General features: G+C 40.6%; 1 protein-coding gene across 12 annotated transcripts in view, besides 1 other annotated feature; it reads left to right on the top strand.

Annotated features, from left to right (window-relative positions):
- The window catches only part of GFRA1 (GDNF family receptor alpha 1), a 217781-nt gene that overhangs the window by 118188 nt on the left and 73917 nt on the right, over nucleotides 1-25676 (top strand). The window lies entirely within an intron of this gene.
- Nucleotides 23486-23780: a silencer, noted in NCBI's record as "tiled region #9774; K562 Repressive non-DNase unmatched - State 24:Quies". NCBI's record gives its function as "represses a minimal TATA promoter and a strong SV40 promoter by Sharpr-MPRA in K562 cells {active_cell/tissue: K562}" and the evidence as "EXISTENCE:reporter gene assay evidence [ECO:0000049][PMID:27701403]".

Below are 25676 nucleotides of genomic sequence, written 5' to 3'. Positions count from 1 at the left end.
ATTGCATGGGCCATGTTGGGGCAAAACAGATTTTTGAAGCAGTTCTAGTTGTACTCCAGAATTCAGGCCTCCACACTGTTTGGGGTATGTGAAAGGTTTGTAAAAGCATGTAAATATCATTTGTGCCCTGAATGAAACATGCAAAATAAAATTCTGTTTAAATTCTTCACAAAACTGAAGAAAATCGTTTAAACCCATAACTTCGTTTGAAATTCCTCCTAATGACCTGTCATTTCCTCCTTTTGAAATGATCCTATTACATTAATCAGATTGATGTAGTGGTGATAGATTATTCTCATTCAAAGGAATACTCTTGTGTTGTCCTTCCCAATCTACCATCTAGAATCTCTAACCAAGAAGAGTTCAGAAAGTGATGGCTCTGTTCCCTGCCTTTAGGAACACACAGTTTTGCTTGGTTTGATTGGAGCTTTGCGTTGCCTGCTTTCAGTGGCGAAAGAGGCCCATTTGTGAATGGAAATATCGTCTCCTTCAGTACCTGCTCCAAGTAAGACTGATTCACATGGGCCACTCAGGCCTGCACGGGGCTGATCGTGGCCTTCTTTGTTTTCTAGCGTTTGCTTTTGGTGGGTGTGCTGGAGAGCCTGTTCAGGAGAGGGCTTCTCCCTCCCTTACTAGCCAGATTCATAAAGCAGAGTTGGTTTTACAACCATCTATTTTTTACCAAGCCCATAAACATCTATGTCTCTGGCACTGCCTGTGGCTCCGGCGTGTGTCCAGCATGATGATTTGGTGGCACAGAGAGGGGCTGTTTACACCCCAACAGCCAAACCTTCCATTTTTCATGAGGCACTAGGAAAATAATTGTGCTCCTTCCCATTTTCCTCAGCATTGGTTTCCAAGCTTTGCCTTTGTTACCATATTTTGCTGAACCTGACCATGCTTTAAGGATAAAATGTGCTCGGAAAAATTGGTGAATTTTGTGGTGATATGTACAATCATCTTTTATAATTTAAAAAAATTCCATTAATATGTATCTGTTCTGGGTTGTGGGAGACAAGCCTTTGTTTTCCTTGAGGCCTTCTCTAGCTGCTTGCAGGTGACTTGCAGCAAATCATTTTCATCTTGGGACCTTCTGTCAGCACCCCATGAGGAAAAACAGGTGACAGGTGGCATCAGCTGCTTGCTTCTTCCTTCCCTCTGCTAGAGGGGGAAAGATTTAGAAGGAGGGTATGTGGCTGTGTTTGGCATGGCTCTGTTAATTGCTAACAGGTTATGAGAGCCCAAGAGACTGGATGAAGTAATTGTGCTCCGCCAGTCATCAGCTTTGTGACCTTGGCAAGTTATTTTGCCTGTTTTAAATCTATTTCCCTATTTTTAATATGGGAATTATAATACATAACCATAGGATTGTCATGAGTATTAAATGAGATAAAGTTCTTGACACATTAGAGTTCTGGGAAGCTATTCACAGTGTCATTATTTTTAAATGGGACTAAAAATGGCAAGAATTTTTGCTTTACTATTAATATATGTGGCACATAAATATCCTCTTCCAGAAAGTAGGTAAGGTCTCAAGCAGTCAGTTGTATTTTCTGAAGAAGCCCTAGCAGGGTTCCTTTGAGTAGGGGATCCCTGTGCATGGAATCATCTCCACTGATGAGTCAGCAGTGGCCAAGAGCACAGAGGCACAGAGACCTCAAAGCTGGAAGGCTCACTCTGGCCGGGACCTGGTCTAATATACAGGCAGATACCCATTCCTCTCTGTGCCAGCCTAGGACCTGGCATACTGTAGGTGCTCAATAAGGGCTTGTGATGAAGGCATTAGGAGTCACTATTTTTAAAGTTAACTTCAGTTGCCATTCACAGAATAGTGAACAAATCATAACTATACAGCTAGATGCAGTTTTACAAAGTGAACACAGCTGTTGAAGCCCAGCCAATGGAGAAATAAAGCATGACCAGGATCCAGAAGCACCCTCCTAACTCCTTCTAGTCACTTTCCCCACAAAGGTAGCCACCATTCTGCCTTCTGTCAGCATGGATTAAGTTTGCCTGTTTGAACTTTATATAAATGGAATAATAAAATATATACTTTTTGAGACTGGCTTCTTTTGCCCAACATGAGTTCATAGGACTCAGTCATGATGTTGCATATAGCAATAATTTGTTAATTTTAATTGCTGTATGTTTTTCTATCGTATGACTACATTGCAGTTTATCCTTTCTACAGTTGGATATTTGGTCGTATCCAGTTTGGGGCTATAAATCAAGCAGCAATGAAAATTCTCATTTGTGTCTTTTGGTGAACGTATAGACACATTCCTGTTGAGTAAAATTGCCAGGTCGTAAGAGAATGCTTATATTCAGCTTTAGTACTGCCAGACAGTTTAGACTTCCGAAGTGGTCCTACCAATTGGCACTCCCACCAGCAGATTGTAAGAGTGATGGATGGACACACTCATGTTTGTTTTTGTCTCTTCATTTTAGCCATCTTGGTGGGTGTGTAGTGGTATCTCACTATGGTTTTATTTTACATTTCCCTGATGTAATGATGTTAAGCACATTTCTGCATGTTTCTTTGCCCATTTAAATGTTCTCTTTTTGAAATGCATGTTTGAGTGCTTTCCTTATTATTATTTCTTTTTATTGGGTTGCTTGTCTTTTTCTGATTGATTTATAGAGTGCTTATAAAATCTGGATATAAGTCCTTTGTCAGATAAATGTATTAAAAATGTCTCCTCCTATGTGGTAGCTTGCCTTTCACTTTTCAAATGGTATCATTTGATGAACAGAAGTTTACTTAATGCAGTCCAATTTATCAGTTTTCCCTTATGCTAGGCATTCTTTGCATTTTATTGAAGAAATCTTTGCTTACTCCAAGTCATTAATATAGTTTCTCATTTCTTATAGTTTCTCATTTCTTAGAAGCTATATTGTTTATGTCCACACTTGGTCAAGCCACTACTTTTTAAAGGATTCTCAAATAAATGGAAGCTAGCCAAAAAATAATGTTTTAAGGCAGTGGTGGTTTAATTTCTAAACCAGCAGACAGCACTCAACCTGTCAGGAACTCTGGGGTCATTTAAGTGGGATGTAGTTGACAAAGCCTGTTGCTCTGCAAAGGCTTGACCCTGACCAGGTAACCATGGGAGATTGATCACTTTTCACATGTATCCTAGTCCTCACGTGCACAAACCTACTCTTGCTCTAGAAATTCCAGAAAGATGTATAAAGGGAGGAAGGATGGTGAAATGGTAACCCTGGGTGCTCTGGGAAATGCTTCATTCTTTGTTTATCAGTCAGAGTGTAGCTCATTCTGTCTCTGCAACATTTGAGAACCTTCGTGTCCAACCTCTAAACCCAGTCTCCTGGCTCTAGAACTTCATAGATGACTGGCTTTGTAGTGTTAAACAAATCCCTTAACTACCTCAGCCTATTTCTTGATCTGTAAAATTGGGACAATAAGGAGGCCCCCTCGGAGTTTTTATTTGTTGGATGGATGAATGGATGGATGGATAGATGGATGCATGGATGGATGGATGGTTCGTTGCTCTAACCATTAAATAAGATCAGGTTTATAACACACTTAGTCCAGCTCTGACACACAGTTCAGTGCTCAATAAAAGCACTTGTCATCTACTGTCTTCCTAATAAACAGTAATTACTTGCTGAATACTAAAATGTCATCAGCTTAGCAAATCTAATGTAGCAGATACTAAAAGAAACCCAAATTCTTTTAAGAAGTTCACAGCACATCTTTGCCTTGTGATCATGGTCACAAATGTGTGTGAGTTTGAAACATCATCAAAACAAAAGACACTTCCTTGGATATTTAAATCGGAGCATACCCAACTGCTGCTGAGGGCATGTGATATGGTTTGGATGTTTGTTCGTCTGAATCGCATGTTGAAATGTGATTTCCAATATTGGAGGTGGGGCCTGGTGGGAGGTGATTGGGTCAGGCGGGCAGATCCCTCGTGAATGGTTTAACACCATCGCATTGGTGATGAGTGAGTTGTCACTCAGTACACATGAAATCTGGTTGCTTAAGATTCTGGTCCCTGCCCTCTGCTGGGCCTCTTGCCCCTACTCCCACCATGTGACACCACCTGCTCCCCTTTGCCTTCCACCATGACTGTAAGCTTCCTGAGCCCAGCCTCAGGTACTTCTTTATAGCAACACAAGAACAGATGGATACAGTGTGCATGTGCTTTCTGGTGAACGTTTCTAAAAGGTTGTGAAGACGGTGATGTGTGATTCCACAGCGTGGGGTACTGGCTTATTGCAATACCCTCCAAACTGGTGCTCCTGCTTCCTCTCTGGTCCATCTTACATCATCATGCCCATCCATTAAAATTATCTCTTTAAAACATGAATCGAATCGTGATTTCCCATTGCACTTAGAATCATATCCAAACTCCTTTCCACACAGATGAATCAGTGTCTAATCTTGCCCCATCAGCCTTTCCCACCTGGTTTCCTACCACTGTCCACTCACACGCTATGCTCCAGACACAGCAGTCTCCTTAATCATTTCTTCAAATCACCAAGCTTTTCCCTGCCCTAGGGCTTGCCTCAACTCACTCCACCTCTCAAGTCACCTCTCAGGGAGCTCTTCCCTGATTACTCTCCCTAAAGTGGAGTAGAAGAGTCAACTCCTCATTTATCATATTATTTCCTCCATAAAATGAATCTTGTTCATTTATTTGCTTGTTTGCCTGGCTTCTCTCTTCCACTAGTATCTAAACTGTATGCCTTATTTCAGGAACACAGTCGATCCTCAATAAACAAAGAAATGAATGGCCATTGGCTATCCTTAAGGCCAATGGTCTGCCAGGTCTTCACTGTGTGGTGCGTATCCTCCTGCTTCCTCCCCTTGGTAACCATCAGTTCCTGGTGCCCCGTTCTATGTCATTTGCAAATTCCATAGGGGCTCTCCCTCTTCCCTCTATTTTCCCATTGGAGCTTACAGCCCCTCAACTCCCCAGCAGATCTATGTTTTCATTCAAGTCTCTCCTTAAATTCCATTTTATCCAATGACTAAAGTTACTTCTCTAGTCTCTAGTTAATGATCATTGGCTACATCCCCCCAAGAGAAGAGTCAGTGGTGGTGATGTAGTGGGGTGCCCCTTCCCCATTTGGCCTTCTAACAGGTGTGGGGGTTACTGACATCTCTGCCAGGGGTTTCCTCATGTCACCAATTCAGTAACATAAACTGCCAGAGTGTCCCCTTGGAATGTTTCTTAGTCACTGGTTTCTTGATTGTGGCTAACAGAGGCCAACCCAACTTGCTTCATTCACAGAGAGGAGTAAGAACCTAGGCATGTCTCTGGAAACCTAGGAGCAGAAAGCATGCCTGGAGCTTGTACAGATGCTTGCCTTGATATCTGTTCCAACAGTAAGCAGTCCACAGAGAGTAGCAGTACCAGGTTTCTGGGAGAAAAGTATTCCATTGATCCAGGTGGTGAGCCCAGTTTAGTCAGATGTGGCTCATGGGAAGGACTCCCAGGGGATGTTCTTTAACCCTTTTTCCCGTTTAGAAAAAAAAAAAAGTGCAGCTCAATGCCAGTGCTCATTTAATCCTACATAAACATGCTCTTTGAGGCTGAAGCAAATCTGACTGATTTTCGATGCGAAAATAAAATATAAAAACTGTTCCTGGAGTTATTTCTAAACAGAACTAACATCTGAATCATCTGAATCGTCTATTTCAGAAAAAAATCAGATTCATCAAATGAATTTTTGGCCAACAACTGTTCGGGAACAATGTTAACATCACGTGTAGGGATGCTACATTTTCTAGGATTTGGCATTTTTCAGCAATTGAGAATTACTATATTTTGTAAGTGGAAATTCCACTACTAAAAACAGAATGCTATAAATAAAACGATGTTTTGTTTCCAAAGTCAATATACTAGAGTGATGCAAAAATAATAATAAAAGCAAGATATTTCATGGCAAAGTTATCTCAGGGTAAACGCTGCAGCCACAAGTGCCACTGGTGAATATTCTTGGGGCAGACAGGAAAACAGTTACATGGGAAACCGTTCTTAGAAAGGCATGGGCTGTTCAAACACCCAGAGGGGCATGTCCTATGAGACCCCTCAGAAGCATTTCCATGACTCCCACCTAAGAGATCACATATTGACCGGGAACTGCAGCAGGAAAGGCTGACCAGCCTGATCTGGGAATGTTCCTGATGGAAATGAAGTAGGGCCAGAGTTTTTTTTTAAGGAAGAGCAATGTGACAGCAAGGACATTAGTTAGAGGAAGCTCGGTTATCAAAGTGGAAGGAGGAGGCACCATCTGGACTCCAAGGACCACTATTGGGATGGCTTGGAGGGTGGTGGTAGTGGGAGAGGAGGAGTAACTAGGCCTTCAGGAATGCAGCAGACCCAGAGGTTAGTGCTGGTGTTCATCTGCCTGAATTCAAACTGCAGCCCTACCACTTAGCCTTTCTGGGCCTCCACTTCCTTGCTTTGAAAATGGAGGAACAGTGTCGAAAGAAGAATCCATGAAGAGTGGTGAGTTGGTACTATGTTGGACATATAGTAAGCCATCAGCAAATATTAATAATTAAGCTCTAGAAGGATATAACTGCATCTGCCTTCCAGGGATCCTTTGCGGAGTGCTTGGAACATACTAAGAAGGAGCGTTTCTGCATGAGTCTCTCCCATCCCTTGGTACCCTGATTTCAAGCTTTAAAATAATAGTGGTCTTGTTTTTAATCATAATGGTTTGATAATAGGAAGCCACACTCATATCCTACCCAGCCTGAGGAATTAAGGGACTGGTACTTGTTTTTATATAACTAAAATGTACATAGGAGGGAAAGTCCTACATCAATTCCTTCATGGATGTCCTCAATTAAATCATTGGAATCTGTATCATTAAGATAGACTGAGTCCATTAGGTAGACAGGCAGGTGAAATCTACCTGAACTTATTCAAAATGCTTGGAAATTGTTCATCAGTAATGATGTATCAACGAGAGAATACGTTTTATATTTCTAAAATTATAGGTGTCTTCCTACAGGGGGGAATGTATCTTCTTCCTCCAGTGTGTAGTGAGCAGTTTTCGTGAACACAGCTTAACACCCCTTCAGCTATGTGTTCCCTTTGATCCCTAGCTTATTAAAAAATGCAAATCCAAATTGTATCTTATTAATGTGAGCTTTTGTGTTAAAGCTGTGGGGGGCTAAAAATCCCTGTTTCTCTAACATGTTTGGATTTTTAATGTGCAAAGAGCTTGATTTTCTGCAGGCCATATTTTCTAATCAACTGTTATGAAGGATTTTTTATTGTGCTGCTATTTCTTGCTTTCTTGGAATTCAAGGAGATAAAGAGTAATGACTTCATTGTTATACCCTAAGTATTCTCGAGCATGTTGAGATCCTCAATAATTGGCTATAACATCTCCTGTTTTCCAGGAGCATCCTGGAAGCATATTTTAAAGATGTGTCTAATGTTGGAGGTAGTTGATCCAGAGAACTTACTGCTCATTGCCAACAGGCTTGTGGGGCATATGGGAGGTGACAGTGTCCAGCCAGTCCCTTTTCTGAATGTGTACAACAGTCCTTAGACCCAGTGTGCTCTTGTTATTAAAACAATTTCTTTTCTTTAAAAAATAAGGTGCTTGAAATTTAATTTGAATCAAGTTAAAAATTGATCCCATTAGAATACAGCTGCATTTTTCTCACTTGTCCCATTTTTAGTTCAGCCAGCTCTTCATTCTCTCATCCTTCTTCTCTTTTCTTCGTGCCCTGGAATAAGCTTCTTCTTGTATTTAATGATTATTCTTCTTAAGATCAAAGCCAATTACTTCAAAAAAGCCATCACATGGAAATGATCATTTTATATTTATGAGGCTGTCCATATGTACCCCCTAGTAAAGCTCATTCTGGAACAATCTTTTGAGCGTGGGAGTCCTGGCAGGGTGGAAGAAGCAAGTGACTGGTGAATGATAAAACTAACAACAGCCAAGACTATTGGCGTCTGCTATGTGCTAGGCATATATTATCTCATTTAATCATTAAAACAACCCCTGAGGTTTGTACTGTTATTATCATATCCCCACTTCACAGATGAGGAAATGGAGGCACAGAGGTGAATGACTTGCTCACATTTGCATGATCACAGGGGTCAGAAGTGGGGTACAGCCCTGGGAGTCCTGTTGAGAGTCTTCACCCTCAATCACTGCACACCACACATGCTTCCAGCTATGGGAAGAAGTTCTGGGTTCTTCTCCTGACTCTGCTATTAGCTAGCTAACTGCTGTGCCTCACCTTTAAATTAGAATATTGGACTAGATTCTCTCTGAGGTCACATTTGGCCCTGAAGTTTTTAATTCTTAGTAACTATTTTAAAGTGTTGTAAGGTGAAACCGGAAGACAAAAGGCAAAATTCTCAACAGTCCCTACCCCCCACCCCACACACATGCACACACACCCATGCATGCACACACGCATGCACACACACACATGCACACACGCATGCACACATGCATGCACACACGCACATGCACACATGCATGCGCGCACACACGTTCTTTGCCTTCACACTAGATAAAACCACAGTAAAAAGAATCTCAACTATCACATCCTACTGTACTTCATTTTAGGCAGAAAATGTTACAACTTGTATTCCAAAAAAAAGCCACCTGCGGCTTTCTGACACCTCCACTGGGGTCCCCCGGAAGCGGATATCTGGGGGAGGAGCGTGCGTGAGGTTTGAGTGAGAATAGCGGAGGGTCTATTTTTAACCTGAGACCTTTTGCAGAGTCGCTGCCTCTTCTGTTGTCTCCAGTTCTAGGAAAGGAGCTTTCACCTCCGTTCTCATTCAGAGATGGCTCTGTGGTTCATAAAGGAAATTTTCTCTTGGTTGCTGTTGAAGTGTTCTACAAAAAGAAGTTTGATGTGCTCTGTGTGAGGATGGCAGGTGGCAGCTTTCTGTGTCATTCTTTGACATGTGCCAGCTGACGTGAAGTGACTTGTGGTGACAGAGTCACACTAGGCGCTAGCACTTTCTTTTTTCTTGATAAAACAGGTAGCCCTTTCTGTGGGGAGTCAAGAGCTGGGGCATAAGCTAGTGTCTTCCAGGAAAAAAAAAGGACTCATCACCATGCGTGTTTTTAGATGAGATGGTGCAGTGTGAACCACCAGCTCCAACCAATTGTGCAGATGCGCTTGACCTTTGGTGACTGACAGCTGCCACAGGATCTGTCAGGCTGCCCCTCCTACTACTCCCCTCCCCCTAGGGCCAAAGGGCTCTCTCAAAGCTATTTCTGCAGAACTCCCATTAGCTGTTCCCCAGGAGATTTCGGGACACAAGCGCACTCAGCGTGTTCTCTGTTTCTGTCTCTGTTTCTATCTCTTTTTCTATCTCTACCTCTTAATGGAACATTTCAAATATGCAAGCAAATGTAAACAACAATAATAGAAATGTATGTACAAGCCCACCTTTATCAAATTGTTAACATTTTGACATATTTGCATCTGATCTCTCTCTCTCTCTCACACACACACACACACACAAATAAATAAATAAATTCACTACAGATCCTTTTTCATCCCATGATCCCCAGGGGTGTATTTCCTGTGAAGCTAATGAAGTTTAAGATTGTGGCACCTCCCTTCCACAAGCCCTAGGAGAGGCCCTTGTAGTGCATTTACATGAATATATGTTTTTGTAAAAATTTGTAAAATTTGCAAAAGTGAGAGATTTAACTGCAATTGGTGAAGATCACTGTCGCTTTTCACTCTGAGCTTTCTTCCCTCCACGTTCCCTTCTGTCCAGCAGGATTGGACAGGTCTCAGATATGTGAGCATCTGGCTAAGGGGCAGTTGATTTTGGGGATACATTTGGCTTTGGTTTAGCAGGATAGAATTGTAGGGTTCCCAGTTACTTCTGTGTATTGCTAAGTTATTGCTAGATGTCCCTGTGGAGTGGTGGATGGCTTCCAGGAATACTCCCACTGTCTATGGTGCTGACTCACCAGCAACATGACATGGAGGAACAGGATTAGAGGTCATACAGGGATGTGAATGTGTCCTGTGGTGCCCACACTTGATGCTTGAGAAGCAGAGTTTGAAATGTGTAGAGCCATTAGCTTGTCTACGGAAAATAATAAATCAAATCATTAAACATGTCAAATTATAAGCAAATGATTCTAGTCTCATTGACAATTACTCAAACTAATATGGTTCTCCTATCAGGAATGTACTCGATGATGTAGCATATACAATTATAAACACATCATATTTTTTTCTGTTTAAATTTCTCTATTCTTTTTCTTAAAGAGAGTCCCCTAAATTGTAAATGCTTCTATCCCCACAAAACCTGGGATCTGCTCAGATAGTGAATTCTGTTTCTCTCCTGATTTGTTGGTGTTTATCATTCTCTTGCATGTTTTAATACCTTCGTATGTATGAAAAAGATAAAATTATCATATATACTCACATATGTGTATAAATATATAAATATGTGAATATATAAATATATAGTGACTATATATTATTTATACACAAATGTGAGTGGTGTGTGTGTGTGTACACTTTGTTTCTAGGTTTTTATTCTTTATATAAATGTTACCATTCAGTACAAATACTTCTACAACTTGCCTCATTTCCAAACATTGTTTTGAGATTTATCCATCTTGATATACTATAGCTCTTGTTCATTCATTTTCATTGCCATTTGTAGTATTTCATTGTGTGAATATACCATAGTTTATTTATCCTGTCTTCCATCACTGGGCATTTGGGTTATAATAGCGACTAATTTGAAGTAAATAATGTACAATAAAAATCTTGTACATACTAATATGTGTGAGAAGTTCTCTATAGCTGTTGTCTTTAAATTCTTTCGCTCAGGTATTCTGTAAGAGAATTTTGGAAAGCTGCCTCCTTTCATACATTTTTACATTAACTTATAAAATATTTTAACATAAGTTTATGTAGTTGGAAAGGATGTAATTTGCATGATATTGTAATACAGATATTTAAAGATAAAACTAAAGATCACCCTTCTCAATGCAACCAGTGAAAATAGTGTAATGATTCGACTCTCACTAGCATCCATTTAAATAATACACTGCTAAGTTTTTCCTTAATAATTAAGTTCCCTTTGTTCTTTGAAATTGAAATTCTATTCTTTCCTGTCCTCAGAATTTTCTCTTAGTGCAACATATTTTTAAGCTTGACAGTCTTTTTTATTGATTACCTCCTCCTATTTCTCTCCTTCATATTGATTCATAGGAGTTCTATGTGATTTCTGGAAATCATTATTTTGTCACTTTGTGAGTCCATCTATCTTTTCCTAGTCTGTGGCTTATCTTTTTACTTTGTCTTTAGAATTTTTTGTTGTTGTTGTTGTAAGTTTTTAATCTTTTTTTTTTTTTTTTTTTTTTTTGAGACAGAGTCTCGTTCTGTCGCCCAGGCTGGAGTGCAGTGGCATGATCTCAACTCACTGCAACCTCCACCTCCCGGGTTCAAGTGATTCTCCTGTCTCAGCCTCCCAAGTAGCTGGGACTACAGGTGCGCACCACCATGCCTGGCTAATTTTTGTATTTTTAGTAGAGATGGGGTTTTGTCATGTTGACCAGGTTGGTCTCGAACTCCTGACCTCAGATGATCCGCCCTCCTCAGCCTCCCAAAGTGCTGGGATTACAAGTGTGTGCCACCAACCTTGGCCAAAATTTTAACCTTAATGTGATTAATTTATCAGTCTTTTCTTTATGGTGTGGAGGTATTATATGTCTTGTTTAAAAATTGCTTTACTATCTCAAAATCATAATCTCCTATGTTTTCTTCTAAAAGTTTTAACATTTTGTTTTTCACATTTTAATTTGTTAATTTATTTAGAATTTATTTTCATGTACGGATACCTTATGAATCTAATTTTATCTTTTTTCAAGGGAATACTCAGTTGTCACAGGGCTGTTTTTAAGTAGTTCATTCTTTGCCAGCTGATAGTATTTGTCAATTCATACATATAGATTATGAATATTATATTATGATATCTATATCATTCCTTGGGTGTATTTGCTTCTTTAGTTTTAAACAAGAAAGGAGTACGTTTTGCTTAGCTGACATTATCTCGTATTCCTCATAGGTAACTAGCACAGCATTTATATCCCATATCATTTTTTTAGTTAATATTCACTAGCTTGAATTGAATTTGAATGTGTAGTTTGGAATATAGGGTCAAAATTTATATGGCCTGGCATGTTAGTAAACACTATGAATGAATGAATGAGTGAGTTAATGTGATAGAATTATTGAAACATACTTGTTATAACTTAGATTATTATTGTGTTATCCTGTGCTTTTATATACAGAAAATATATCTCTATCTCATTAATGAACTTAGCTTTCTAGAAAGTCATTTTCTTTTAGCAGTACAATATTTCTTAAAACATGGTCTAGCAGAATCACGTGCAAAGTGTGTTAAAATGCAGATTTCAAGGTCTCACCTCAGACCAACTCACTAAATCAGTCTATGTGGGAGTCAGATGCAAGCTCCCCAGGGGACTGTTATGCTCAAAAAAATTTAAGCATCACTAGTTTAATGGGATGTCATTCAGAGCCTCTATTCAGATGTTCTACCAAACCGAGCAGTGACAAAGAACATTTAGGCCAGCACACCTCTTTTAGCAAAGCCGTCAACACTTGCAGGTCATAACACATTAGAGTGGAGAGAACATTGGCCTAGGACCAGGATACTTGAGCCTTATATTACAGCCCCCTTCTAAGGTCACTGATAATTTCATGATGTGACCTCCTGCAAATTTCTTAGTTCTCTGTATGTTAATTTCCCATCTGTGGCTCTTCCAGCTTGTTAGAGAGTTAGAGTTAAATTCGCCATGTTCATTGCATGGGAGAGAGAGAGAGAGAGAGAGAGAATGAATGAAACTAGGACAAGGAACCCTGCCAGCTGGTATCTTTTTCTCTCTCCATAAATCTAAATAACATTCAGGTAGCAGTTGCAACGTATGGATATTTTGTCATCGGCTCAGAGCAAAGTGACCCTTTCAGAAATTTGGCTTGGGCAACTGCCATTGCTGCTGTTTGTAGATTGTCTTGGGCACTCAGACAGTTGTTTACGCAGACTGCCTGGAGGTTAGGGTATCTGTCATCCTATACTAAAGACAACTAAGGAATTTTATTTAAACCAACCACCTCTGTAGTAGAGTCTTCAAGCCTTCTAGGTCCTTTTTTTTTTTTAATTAAAAAAAAATTGAACTGACAGTTCCAGTTTGTTTGAGAAGTGCTCTGCCCAGTATCCTAAAACCCAGCCTCAGGAAATGGTTCATCACAAGTCTCTGAAATACTCCAGCTTTCCCTCTTTGTAGTAATTCAATTTGAATGAATATACACTTGGAGTATATGAACCGTACAACTGGTTTTAAGTAGGGACAAAGCTGGGATCGTCCCCACCTCCATCCTGTATGGCACAATCATTTCTTATTTCATTCTGTTCAGCACTGGCAGCAATTAAAGCTCCCAAAATATGGAGTGTTTTCATCAAGTAAAGCATTAAAAATACTGGCCCGTCAGAGTGGGAAGTGGACCTGTGCTTTACTGCAACTATTCTTCAGCTGCAATAGGGCAGGAAGTCGTGAATAGCATTCATTTCATGCAGTGGAAAAATAAGGCCAATTTCAGCTTTAATCTTTATTATGAGGAGTCTAGTCCCTGTTGGAATGTAATGAGTGGATGCACCTCATTTAGCTTAAAGTAACAGATCTATATAGAGTTGTTAATTTGTAGATAAATATGGGTTTTCTACTGTTGATGTTTCTTGATCCACACAAAGTGGTTATATTAATACTGAAACATTATTAATCAATAGTTTGCTCTTTAAAAATACATCAGTTAGACTACCCAATTACCTTTAAGTATATATCAAAGGGCACAAAGCAATCTGACGTACACGCAAAGTCCATTAGAAGCTACCAGACATATTAATTCAAATTTTTAGTTACAATGAACCTTACAGTGTGGGGACACATTTCTACTTTTGGTAATAAACAATTACTGGCTAACCGAAACGCTGAAATTTGCAAATAACATTTTGGAGCACGGAAAGGTCTTGGGGATTTTTGTGAAAATGAAATCCACAGATGACTTTATTTTACTTGAATCCAACTTATAAAAGGGCTTCAACTCAGGACTGTGAACTGAAAGATGCACAGGGCTTTTCTCCTATTTGTTGAAGGGGAAATGAGAATTCTCATATTTTGGAATTAAACATGACCAGAGTGGAAGTGGCTTTCAAGGACTGCAGGCAAAACCTCCTTTGAGATTAAAACACAACACACCAAAATACCGAGATGTGTATAACAAACACAACCACTTTTCCCTCCTGCTGCATGGCGGGGCATTGTTGATCAATGTACTTGTGACAAATGCCCACAATGAATAATCCTGCACTGCTTGGTCCACGTCCATTCAGCAACCATTCGTACTAATGGAAAGCTCTGAATTTGTGCCAAGAGGTAAGTAATCTTTTGTTTGGTCATCTAGCAACAGCAATAAGCTTTCCTTTCAAACTTCAATTCTCACTGCTAACAGCCCAGCTACACATCTCTTGTCTAAGAAGATCTGCCTAACCAACTTATTTACCAGCCTGGCACCTAGCATTCACAGATGTTCTTAGAGCTTAAAAAAAAAGAGGTCGGGTATGGTGGCTTATGCCTGTAATCCCAGCAATTTGGGAGGCTGAGATGGGTGGATCCCCTGAGGTCAGGAGTTTGAGACCAGCCTGGACAACTTGGCAAAACCCCGTCTGTACTAAAAATACAAAAACTAGCCAGGCATGGTGGCAGGTGCCCGTAATCCCAGCTACTCAGGAGGCTGAGGCAGGAGACTCACTTGAACCCGGGAGGTGGAGGTTGCAGTGAGCCGAGATTGCACCACTGCACTCCAGCCTGGGTGACAGAGCAAGACTCTGCTCCCCGCCCACCACCCCCTCAAAAAAAAGAAGAGGACATAGGTCCAAAATCTGTGAATGCTGTTTCCCCATCTCTCCCCCAACCCCCTCGGTTTCCCTGCCTCTAGTTACTCATTGCCAGGAGGCAGAGCATATACTCTCAAGGTACAGGAATGTGATTAATAGTACTAGGCTCACTAAACAAAGCTCGCAACTAAGACCTGGATGCCCTGAGGAGCTTGCTATAATGGTACTGGACTTTGCAGCCTCTTACATTTCTAATTGAGTTACTTTGTCAGAAAGTGGCAGCCTCATCACATCTAAAGGAGGTGGCCAAGAAGAAACATACCCGAGACCCACATTTAAACATCACGTACCTGCATTGTTCATTTTGGGATATACTCTCCCTCTCCACCTTGGTGTCTGTCCCTGGGCCATTATCCAGCACAAGCCATTTACTGAATCGTGTGAGGTGTAACTGTCATTCAACACAAGTGAAATCTTTACGTGAACATTAGTCACTGTTTTAGACATGTTAGCTTCAAGTGGAAGCAGTCAGTTATAGACTAGAGGTTTTATGGCTACATTATTACCATCATACTATTAGGTTTTCAGCAGTAGCATTCTGTTTGATCGATCTGTGCCAGGACATTGATGCATAGCTTTGTTCTTCAAATGTCAAATATGTGGGACTTCTGAACTTTATGCATTTACTGACACACTAATCTCCTGTAGATATCTTTTCCCCCTCTGCAGTGTTCAGCTTCAGCAGGTGATTGTGATTCCTTTCCTTAGAAGACCATGTAGGGCTTGTAATCACATTTATAATTTCCTTTCTATTCTCTCTCAAATGCGGAAACACTCCTGAGTTATTGACAGTTTAAAGAAGTCTTTAGCACACAAAGAGGACCACTTGCTGGTGTCAAGAAATAGATTTAGACATTTGTTTTTTTTTTCTTTCTGACATGCAGACCTCATACCAGAAATGAATTACCAATTTCAGAGTATATGTTAGATTTCCAGAATTTTGGCTTTCTGTGAAATTATGCTATTTCACCTGTCTTTCCTAATGCCACATTTAATTTTCAATTTTTTTACAAATATATTTCTAAGCCAAATCTTTGAACCGCATACACTTCAACCACTACCATTTCAATCCCCAAACATCACTAAATATGGTCCCACTTATACTATCAAATAGAACTTCTCATGTGCAGTACTTGAAGGCTTGCAGAAGATTCTAAGGGATGGATTTCCTTTCTGTTAAACTAGTAGCTCGTAAATCTGCCACTGGAGATCATCTGTTTCACATAATAGATCAAACAGAAACTCTGAGAAAGCCTTGCCCTCCACCAAAAAGCCACTGGACTTCCATTTTGTTTTTATTCAAGAACTTCCCGGAAGGCTCAGTATAGTCCTTGTAAATGCCGGTTTCCTTCCTGAGTCAAGCCAGTCCCCTCTTCCACCTTCACACTTCTACCTTAGGAACTATTCTACCATATTTCCTACCTTAGGACTCTCTAGGTTCTCTTGGGTCAGTTCATTAGCTAATGCCACGGGAAGAAGATTGCCCAATCTTTCCTGGCACTGGAGGCAGCTCTAGACACACCAGGAGAAATTCTCAGGACCCATTTATCATTCATTTTTTGAAGGCCAAAGGGTAAAAGGCTAATTAGTATCTGTGTTGGCAATATCATGGTGAGAATGCTAAATCACAGAAATCTGGCTTCCTATAAGTCTTTGTGTGTCTTAAAATGGGACCTCCTGCAATAGAGAGCCTCATCCATTTAGTGCAAGGGCAGGGACCCAGGCTGTGCTCCGATGGAGCAGGAATCCACTGCTGCTGTCAGCCCTCTATCGCTTCCCCACTGAAGGGCAGCATGGTTGGCCATTCTGAGGCCAGTAGTCCTCATTCCTCTCATCCCTGAATGCCCTAGCCAAAGGGGCACCCTTGCCCTCTGGCATGTCCCGGGGTGCTGCAGGAAGCATTAGCAGCTGGACTGAGCCCAGGCACTTGTGCTGAATGTGATTCTGATCTCTCCAGGCACAAAGCGGAGGGAATCATCTTGACCCCAACACTCACATTCAGCTTCAGCCTCACACATGCTTAAATGGAACCATTCAAGCAAGCGTTTCTCACAAAAACTAGCTAGTGTACAAGTCCAAATCTCTATTAGAAAAGGCACACTTGAAGCCTGGAGTCCTTGGTAGAATGCATGCATTTTACCTAAACCTACTTTTTATTGAGCAAATAGCTAGGTGGAAATGTCAGTTCTGGATGCTAGGCTTGTTCTCATTTAGCCCTGGGATCTTATTTGATGTAGTGCTCATGTAATCAGGGACACAACAACCCCAAAACCAACATGCTTGTGTGAAAAGCTCAGGAATGCCACGTTCTATTAGGTTGGTGCAAAAGTAATGGCAAAAACCACAAGTACTTTTGCACCATCCTATAGAAGTAACCTGAGAGTGCTGGATTACTCACCTGCTTCTACCTGCCTCAGCAAACTCTCAGCCACAGTCGATGGACAGGAGCCAGGTGGAAGAGCACCTCCTGTGGAGAGGTGGCTTGGTGCCCAACACCACGAGAATACTGCTGAATTTACTCCGCAATTCCTGTGGGAGACAGAGTGGCAGATTAAGCTGCAGAGATGCAATGGAGGTCCTGACTAAGGAATTTTAATGTAAAAATTCTGAGGCTTAAACTTCATTCTTCAGCTAACTGGTGTCGTCCTTCCAATGGGAATCTAACAAGAGTTATACCAGGGCTTGAAGAGCAAGCATGTGAATGTATTGGAACCAATTTAAAGCTCAAAACAAAATGAACAGGAAGACTCACCAACACTCCATTAAAATAAAACATGAAGGCTCACTGAGGCATGCAGCTGAGCCGTCAGTTCTTTTGTTCTTCCTTTGTCTCAAGCTCATGAGAGACCATGGTGGGTTGGTGGGGCAGTTGTGAAGGTGTGTGTTGGGTGGGTCGGGGGGGGGTTCCTACCATCTTGCTTTGTTTTAATCTACCTTGGAAGTATGTGTTCTAGGGCCCCCTGGTAAATCTAGTCTAGCCTTAATTATGAAGTCACACGTGAAACATGGGCAAAGAAAACCTTCCTGTCAACAAGATCTTCATGGAATGAGGACGGAATATACTGTCCACTAGCAGGCAGCTCTTAAGGACCACATTCCTGAAAATCAAATAGAAAGCCAGGATTTAGTAGGAAAATAAGGAAGAGTGCAGGTGGGCATAAAAAAAAGGTTTAACCTACAGAAAGTCAGCGAATTCCAAGTCTGATCATTGGAAGTGCCTGGAAGTTGTGTAAAAATACACATTTTCAGATGGTGGCCAGGCTTGGTCACTGAAGGAACCAAATTTTGGTTTTGGAACACTTAAAACCTGTTTCCATGAACGAGAAATAATGTACTAGTAGGTGACCAAAAAGCCCTTAACCAAGCAAAGTTTTATTAACCCAATGGGACAGGAAGCACCTCCATGAATGAAGCAAAACACCATTAAAAAATACATACAGGCCGGGCGCGGTGACTCAGGCCTGTAATCCCAGCACTTTGGGAGGCTGAGGCGGATAGATCACGAGATCACGAGTTTGAGACCAGCCTGACCAACGTGGAGAAACCCCATCTCTACTAAAAATACAAAAAATTAGCCAGGTGTAGTGTTGGGCATCCGTAATCCCAGCTACTGGGGAGGCTGAGGCAGGAGAATTGCTTGAACCCTGGAAGTGGAGGTTGCAGTGAGCCAAGATCGTACCATTGCACTCTAGCCTGGGCAACAGAGCGAGACTCCATCTCAAAAATAATAATAAATACACAGAGCCCAGAATTCACATATCTGACTATTAAGATGGACATTTCTTCTTCCTTGGTCCTCTTGAGTGCAGCTCCATTTACTGTAGACTTTCTGCCCAGCTCCTGGCTCTCTTCTCACAAACTGGCCAAGCTTTTGGCTACTGTCTTTTAAGAACCCTGTAAATGTGAAGCGCTGCAATTATTATTCATGCAGCTTTTGTTTATCTTTCCAGAAGAAACAATTGAGCTGTAGCAGATGAGTGATGGTTGCAGGGCTGTGGTGACGGTAAAAGCCACTGCAGGTGGAGTGGCTTAATGGGGTATTAATTGGGAAGCAGGTGAAGGCAAATAGGTAGCACAGCAGGTATGTAAATAGGCTCGTGGGAGGAAAGGCATTGAATTTTATGCTCTTTAACTAAAAATAAAGACCTGATATTTAGCTTATCTTTGCTGAAATCCGCACTGTGAGGGCCCTGACAACCGCCGACATCATCAATGATTCATTATTATCTCAGCATCATCTAGGCTACTTAATAGGATCTTCAGCCTCTTCATTTTTCATTGTTTCAGCTGATTCTTTGGCTTTAGAATGTATGCTTTTCCTTCTCTCTATGCATACCGAGGCCAGAACAATGTTTGTAGATTGTGTAGTAGAAGTGACATTCGGACCTGTAGCCTGCCTTCTGGTGGCATCTTTTTGCTCTAGCTGTTGGGAGGAACAGAGCAAATGTACCGTGTGACTATGGATAATGAGCCTACGAAGAACACATACATTCAAATGAATATTCTCCTTCAAAGTAGTCACCTTGAGAAGCGAAACACTTATTCCTGGACCATCTTTGGAGCAATGGCTTTTTGGGAAAGCCAATGATTATTTTCAGAGCTGACGTCTCAGTCACCCACAGGAAAAAATCCTTACATATATTCATTCCTTATTTTCTACTCCTGAGCATTGTCCAACATCATGGCCTCCTTTATTCATCACACTTAGTGCTAAAGGATATTTGGCTTTTAAAGTCCCATCCTCAATGCAGGGGACTGGATGTTGCTCAGGGATTCCAAAGAACACATGCCTCAGGCTTCCAGGAAAGAGTTCCGTGAAATGTCCCAAGCACTGGCAGCCTCTTTGGGACAAGTGTTGACTAGCTACTCAGCACAGCACACACAGAGATAATCTGAAAGCTGGGTATGCTAGTTGACAAGTACATACACATTATTTTAAGGATACCTTTTTATTTAATAGCAACTTAGAAAATTGTTAAAAACAAATCACTCCATATTTCTCTTCCAATTAGTCTTCTCCATGGCAATACACTGGTGCAAAGTGGAGGGGGAAGAGGGGGGTTTTGGATTCTTTGTTACTCGGCTGGCTCACATTTGTTGTTTTCTCTGGGGAGAAGCAGCGTCGGTTTTAAAGACATGTTTAGCCTTTTACTGTTGAAATAGCTAAATATCAGTGGAGCTCGCACAGGCTAAATATTAGTGGAGCTACAGTTTGTACCCCATAAAATGAATTAGGTTTATATTATCATGCAGATCTTTTCCTGTAGTTGAAGTGCTCATTAATTTTACTGCTAATGAGATGTTAGCAATTAAATACCTTTAATTAATGAAAATCAGACAAAAGCAAGGGCTGCTCTCTGTGCCTTCATAAAAACGGGAAATGTTTGTAGATCTCATTGTGAATTTTGTCTGTAGAAGGACCACAAATCTGAGATATTTTTTCTGGTCCAGAGAAAGTCATTAAAAGATTTCACTTTTAGAAAATTAAACAAATAGGCATTTTGGGATGTTATAAAGATTATCTGAGATTGGGGGGAAAAAAAGTATCCATAACTGAGAGCCAGTACTACATGTAATAGCAAATTTCATGGTTGAAGATGCAACAGGATTGAGTACAATTAATAGTTCTGTAGCCGTTGTAGAGTTCTGGGTAGGCCCTGAACACATAATTAGATTATTAAAAATGGCCTGTCTTAGACTGACTATTACTAAATTGAAATCCAATTATGGTTTTATGATTTTGCTGAAAAATATTTAGCTGTTTTGCTTGAGTCCTCCTAGAAGATCATTTCCTCTTTGCATCACCATTTGCACATGTCACAATACATTTTCCAAACAAATCTGACCTCAATTATCTTGGAATCAATCTTACATTAGATAAAATATATTTTAATGAGTGTTTTTATGTCTAATATTATAATTGTGCCTCTCTATACTTGAGGAATTAAAAGATGGCGATAGAAGTCTTTGCAAATATCTTTTTAATGGGAGACATGCATATTTTAGAAATAACTAAATTGTGCCATCTTAATACACAGAAAGGCATTATGCTCAAATATGTGCCTGAGTGTGTGGTAAGACAAACTTGATTCGGTTTTCAGTAATTGGCAATGGAACTGTAATAAAGCAGTTGTTTGCGAAGAGACAGGCTGAGAAATTTCATGCACTCCTGCAGTGTGGATTTAAATGCTAAGTTAAATATTTATGAACCCGAGATTTTTATAGTTGATCATTGTATGATTTATACACCGTAATTATAATTAGGTTGAAAGAGATTTTAAAAAGCCAGTTTCCTGGTAGCCAAGGCCATTAAATAACGCTAAGCTGCCAAAACAAAAATTAGGTGGGAACCCAGCCACCAAGTTCCAAATGCCTGTCCCTCCATCTGATGTACAATGAGGCACTACACCTTACCAGGCGCCTCACCTGAAGCATCAACTCCTGTATCACCTGCAACCATTTTTCATGCCTTTGTTTCAAAGCTAGTTGAACACAAACAAGTAGAAAACTTCAGAGATCCAATGTATAACAAAAGGAAAAGGTGGAGGAGGTTGGAAAGGTTAATTAAAAATGTAATGATCCCATTTTCTGGGACAGCACTATTAATCATTGCGCAGCAGCAAGCATGTGACTTGCACACCACTTACAGGAGATATCCAATTTTTTAAGGTTTGCACAGCAGAGGGTGCAGGCAAGCGACAGAATGTGCGTTAAGGAAATGGAAGCGCTAATGGATAAGGCTAGCCCATGACTTGTGGTTAACAAGGGGAACTGTCTTTACCAGACCAAAGAATTATTTCCAAACTTACAGGTATTCAAAATAATTCAGTCACTGTGAGCCCCAGAGAAAACTTGGGTATGGCTTGCAGCTTAATGTAGTTGTGTAAGGTATGAAAAAACAGAACTAGGAGGAATTTCATCATCATGTAATACAATATGTCTGAAACAGTGTACGAATGACAAAATGGGTTCCAAACAGCCAACATGTGCTTTTTAAATGTAATTTTTAGCACCCTAGCTGGAAAAAGCCAAGCTCTTGAAGGATCAGTTACAAGGGTCACAACCTGTATGATCAAATTTGCCATACGATCCGTGTGGATATCAGAAGCCCAGACTGTCACTGTGAGCTTGCAGAAAAGTTTGCCTACACCTGTGAAGATTTGGCATCTTTTACCCATTTTTTAATTTTCTGGGAAAACACATTAGAGGGAGCCTATTAGAAGAAGAACAGTAGTTATATTAACATAGTAATTAATCAAGTCAGAAAGAAAAAGAGGAAACAAGTTGTGAATTCAATTCTGCAGCCTTAAAAAGAAAGGCAGAAAGATACCCAGAAATTGGCAAGCATGTGCAAACAAACGTTCTTTTATTGTCTTGTGAATTTTTGCTTCGTAAATCATATCTCTTGCAGGCCATGCAGATTTTAATATATTTACTGTTTTATTCTACCTCATAATCCATAGAAATAGATTTCTAGTTGCTTGCATCTGTGTTTCATCCTGAATCGTTTCAACTGGTTAGCTGGCCCTGGTGTTTGCCAATAACGGTGGCATTTTCTAAGTGTAAATAATCAGGGCTGCTGGCCACAGTGATAGCCTCTTACTTGGGACAGTGTGAGGATTGTATTTGAGATAAAGGCAGTTCCTTGCTCCAGAGGAATTTAGAATATGAAAGCTTCTCCCATGACATAATTCATCCCTGACACTTCCACATCTCGCTGTGTTGGAGGGACCTTTTACATTTGCTCTGCCTGCAGGTCAGGGCTGAAATCATTGGTCCATGTACTCCTTTGGAGCCGCAGACCGCGGAGAGGCCAGCGCCTCCAAGTGCATAGACCCTCTGGCTGGGGTTTTACATTCTGTCCCTCATCACCACATTTTATTCTAAATATTTGACGTTATAGTCAGAAAAGGCAGATTACATTAGAACCATCAAATCAAAGAGCCTTAAGGCTTGAAGGGACCTTAGATATATCATCTCACAAATAGGGAAACTGATGCCCATGGGGGGAAAGCTGACTTGTATGAAAACGCTCAGATGATTGGACCACATTTAAAACCCAGATGCTCCTCACTCCTAATCCATGGCTCCTTCAGCAGCACCTGACCCTTTTTGTCCTAGGTTTTGGGATCTCACCCTCGGTTGCCATGAATGTTATACCTCCCATGGCCAAGAAAACAAGAAACAAGTCACCACCAGATGTGATCACAGCCAGAGAGGCTTAGAATGATGGTAAAGAAAGCAATACGTAACCTGCAAAGTGACAACATGGCTGTGTGGAATTTGAAGTGAAAATCTGGTTAAATGGCATTCTCGGTAATACAGAGCCGAGGCTGGAGAGGAGCACATTAGCTGAGCACAACCCACTCGCATATGCACTCCCCCAAGAAAAAAGGATTTCTAGTAAACAGCGTTCATTCTGAGAATACTTCCCATTCAGACAGCGTCCCAGACATTCTACCAAGTTAAAGAATGAATAACAGCAGATGGAGGGAGAGATTAGAGGGGGAGGGGAGGGGGGAAAGCAACATTTTAATGCTGAGCTCTAAAATGAGCTGTGGAGAGGATGGCAGTTAGAGTTATAGTAAAGCTGTTCAGAAGCCTTCCCACGCAGGCGAGAAGGCGCTTGTGCCCAGACCGTAAAACACAGGCGGGCTCCTGATCCTCCGTGCGGTGTGTGAGCTGATGGAGGGCTGGCTTTGACTCCAAGGGTGTAAATTGAATCATTCTCCCCTCTCCTCCCTGTGCCCTCAAGTCATTGAGGTAGTATTTTCGTGCACTGGGGGATCCATTCAATAGATATAGAGGATCAATCTTCTTACCGGGTGAAAACTCAACCCTAATTTATATATCCTGTGATTTCAGCAGTGTTTATTTTTAACTTCATTGCAGTAGGATCCGCAGTATCAGGGCCCCGGAGAGAGCTGGAGGTGGATTTGTGAGGGACTAAGTTAGCGGGCGAAAGGAGGGGAGGGGCCAAGAGTGATTTCCCATGTGCCGTGCGCAATTGCCCATGTGAAACTTTTTGAAAAGAGTAATAATAAGGTAGGCATGAATTTATTTTTTCCAATATTTTATTATGAACATTTTCGAACATACAGAACAGTGGAAAAAAAATATGGTTAATGCATATATACTCAGCACCTGGATTCCATATTCACATCTGAATGTGCTGTATGAGCGCCCATATGTCCATCCTCTAAGTTTTTAAAATTCATTTATGAATATACTGCCCCTAAACGCTTCAGCACACATATGACTAACCAGTGTTCAATATTTGTTTAGGCTATTTCTTTTTGTGTTTTGTTGTTGTTTGTTTGTTTGTTCTTTGAGACACACTTTCGCTCTTGTCACCCAGGCTGGAGTGCAGTGGTGTGGATCATGGCTCACTGCAGCCTTGACCTTCTGGGCTCAAGTAATCCTCCCACCTCAGCCTCCCGAGTAGCTAGGACTACAGGCACATGCCACCATGCCTGGGTGATTTTTAAATATTTTTGTAGCGACAGTGCCTCCTTATATTGCTCAAGCTGGTCTCGATCTTCTGGTCTCAAGCAATCCTCCCACGTCAGCCTCCCAAAGTGCTGGGATTACAAGCATGAGCCACTGTGCCTGGCCTTTTTTTTTTTTTTTTTTTTCCTTTTGAGATAATGTTTACATAGGCACAAACCTTAAGCATACTATCTCTGAGTTTTGGCCCAAACTGTTCAACACAAGCCATTATCAAGGTAGAGAACATTACCATCACCCCCAGAAAGTTATCTCTTATTCCTTCCTAGCCAATCCTCACCCCCATTCCCTGGAAGCAGCCAGTCTTTTAATATTTTAAAAATCATAAATTAGTTTTGCCTATTCCCGAACTATATATATAATCATACTGTGCGTACTTCTGTGTGTAGTCTTTTATTTATTTTTTTGAGATTCATCCATGCTATTTTGTGTATCAACAGTTCATCTCTTCTTATTTCTGAGTAGCAGTCCACGTGGATAACTGTGGATAGATCACAGTTTGTTGAGCCATTTTCCTATTGATGGATACATGGGCTGTCTCCAGTTTTGATTATTATCAATATGCTGGTATAATATTCTTGTTCAAGTCTTTTGTGGACATATGTTCAAGTTCTCTTGGATAAAAACCTAAAAGTAGAATTTCTGGGCCATAGGGTAATTGTATGTTTAGTTTTATAAAAAGCTACCGAATGTTTTTCCACAGTGGTTGAACCATTTTCCATTCCCACCAACAATGTATGAGAATTCTAGGAACATCACATTTTGTTAAATAACATTTGATGTCAAATTTTAACCATTGTGGTGAGTGTAGAGTGTATCTCATTGTGGTTTCATTTTGCATTTCTCTGATAACTAATGATGTTGAACACATTTCAGATGCTACTTGGCCATTCATTTATCTTATTCTGTGAAGTGTCTGTTCAAAGATTTGGCCCATGTTTAATTGGGTTGTTTTCTTATATTGAGATTTGGGCATTTTTAATATATTTTAGATACCAGTCCTTTGTCAGACGTATGTTTTGTGAATATTTTCTCCAGTCTGTGGTTTGTCTATTCATTTTCTTAGCAGTGTCTTTTGTGACCAGAAGTTTTTAATTTTGATGAACTCTACCTTACCAACTTTTTATCTTTTATGGTTATTGCTTTCTGTGGTCTTGTCTCAGAAATATTTGTCTAGCTCCAAGATTATCT

The sequence above is a fragment of the Homo sapiens genome, chromosome 10 (assembly GCF_000001405.40).
Source record: "Homo sapiens chromosome 10, GRCh38.p14 Primary Assembly".
Classification (NCBI taxonomy): Eukaryota; Metazoa; Chordata; class Mammalia; order Primates; family Hominidae; genus Homo; species Homo sapiens.
The sequence above is the reverse complement of the archived record's forward strand: the minus strand, read 5'-3'. Positions and strand labels throughout refer to the sequence as shown.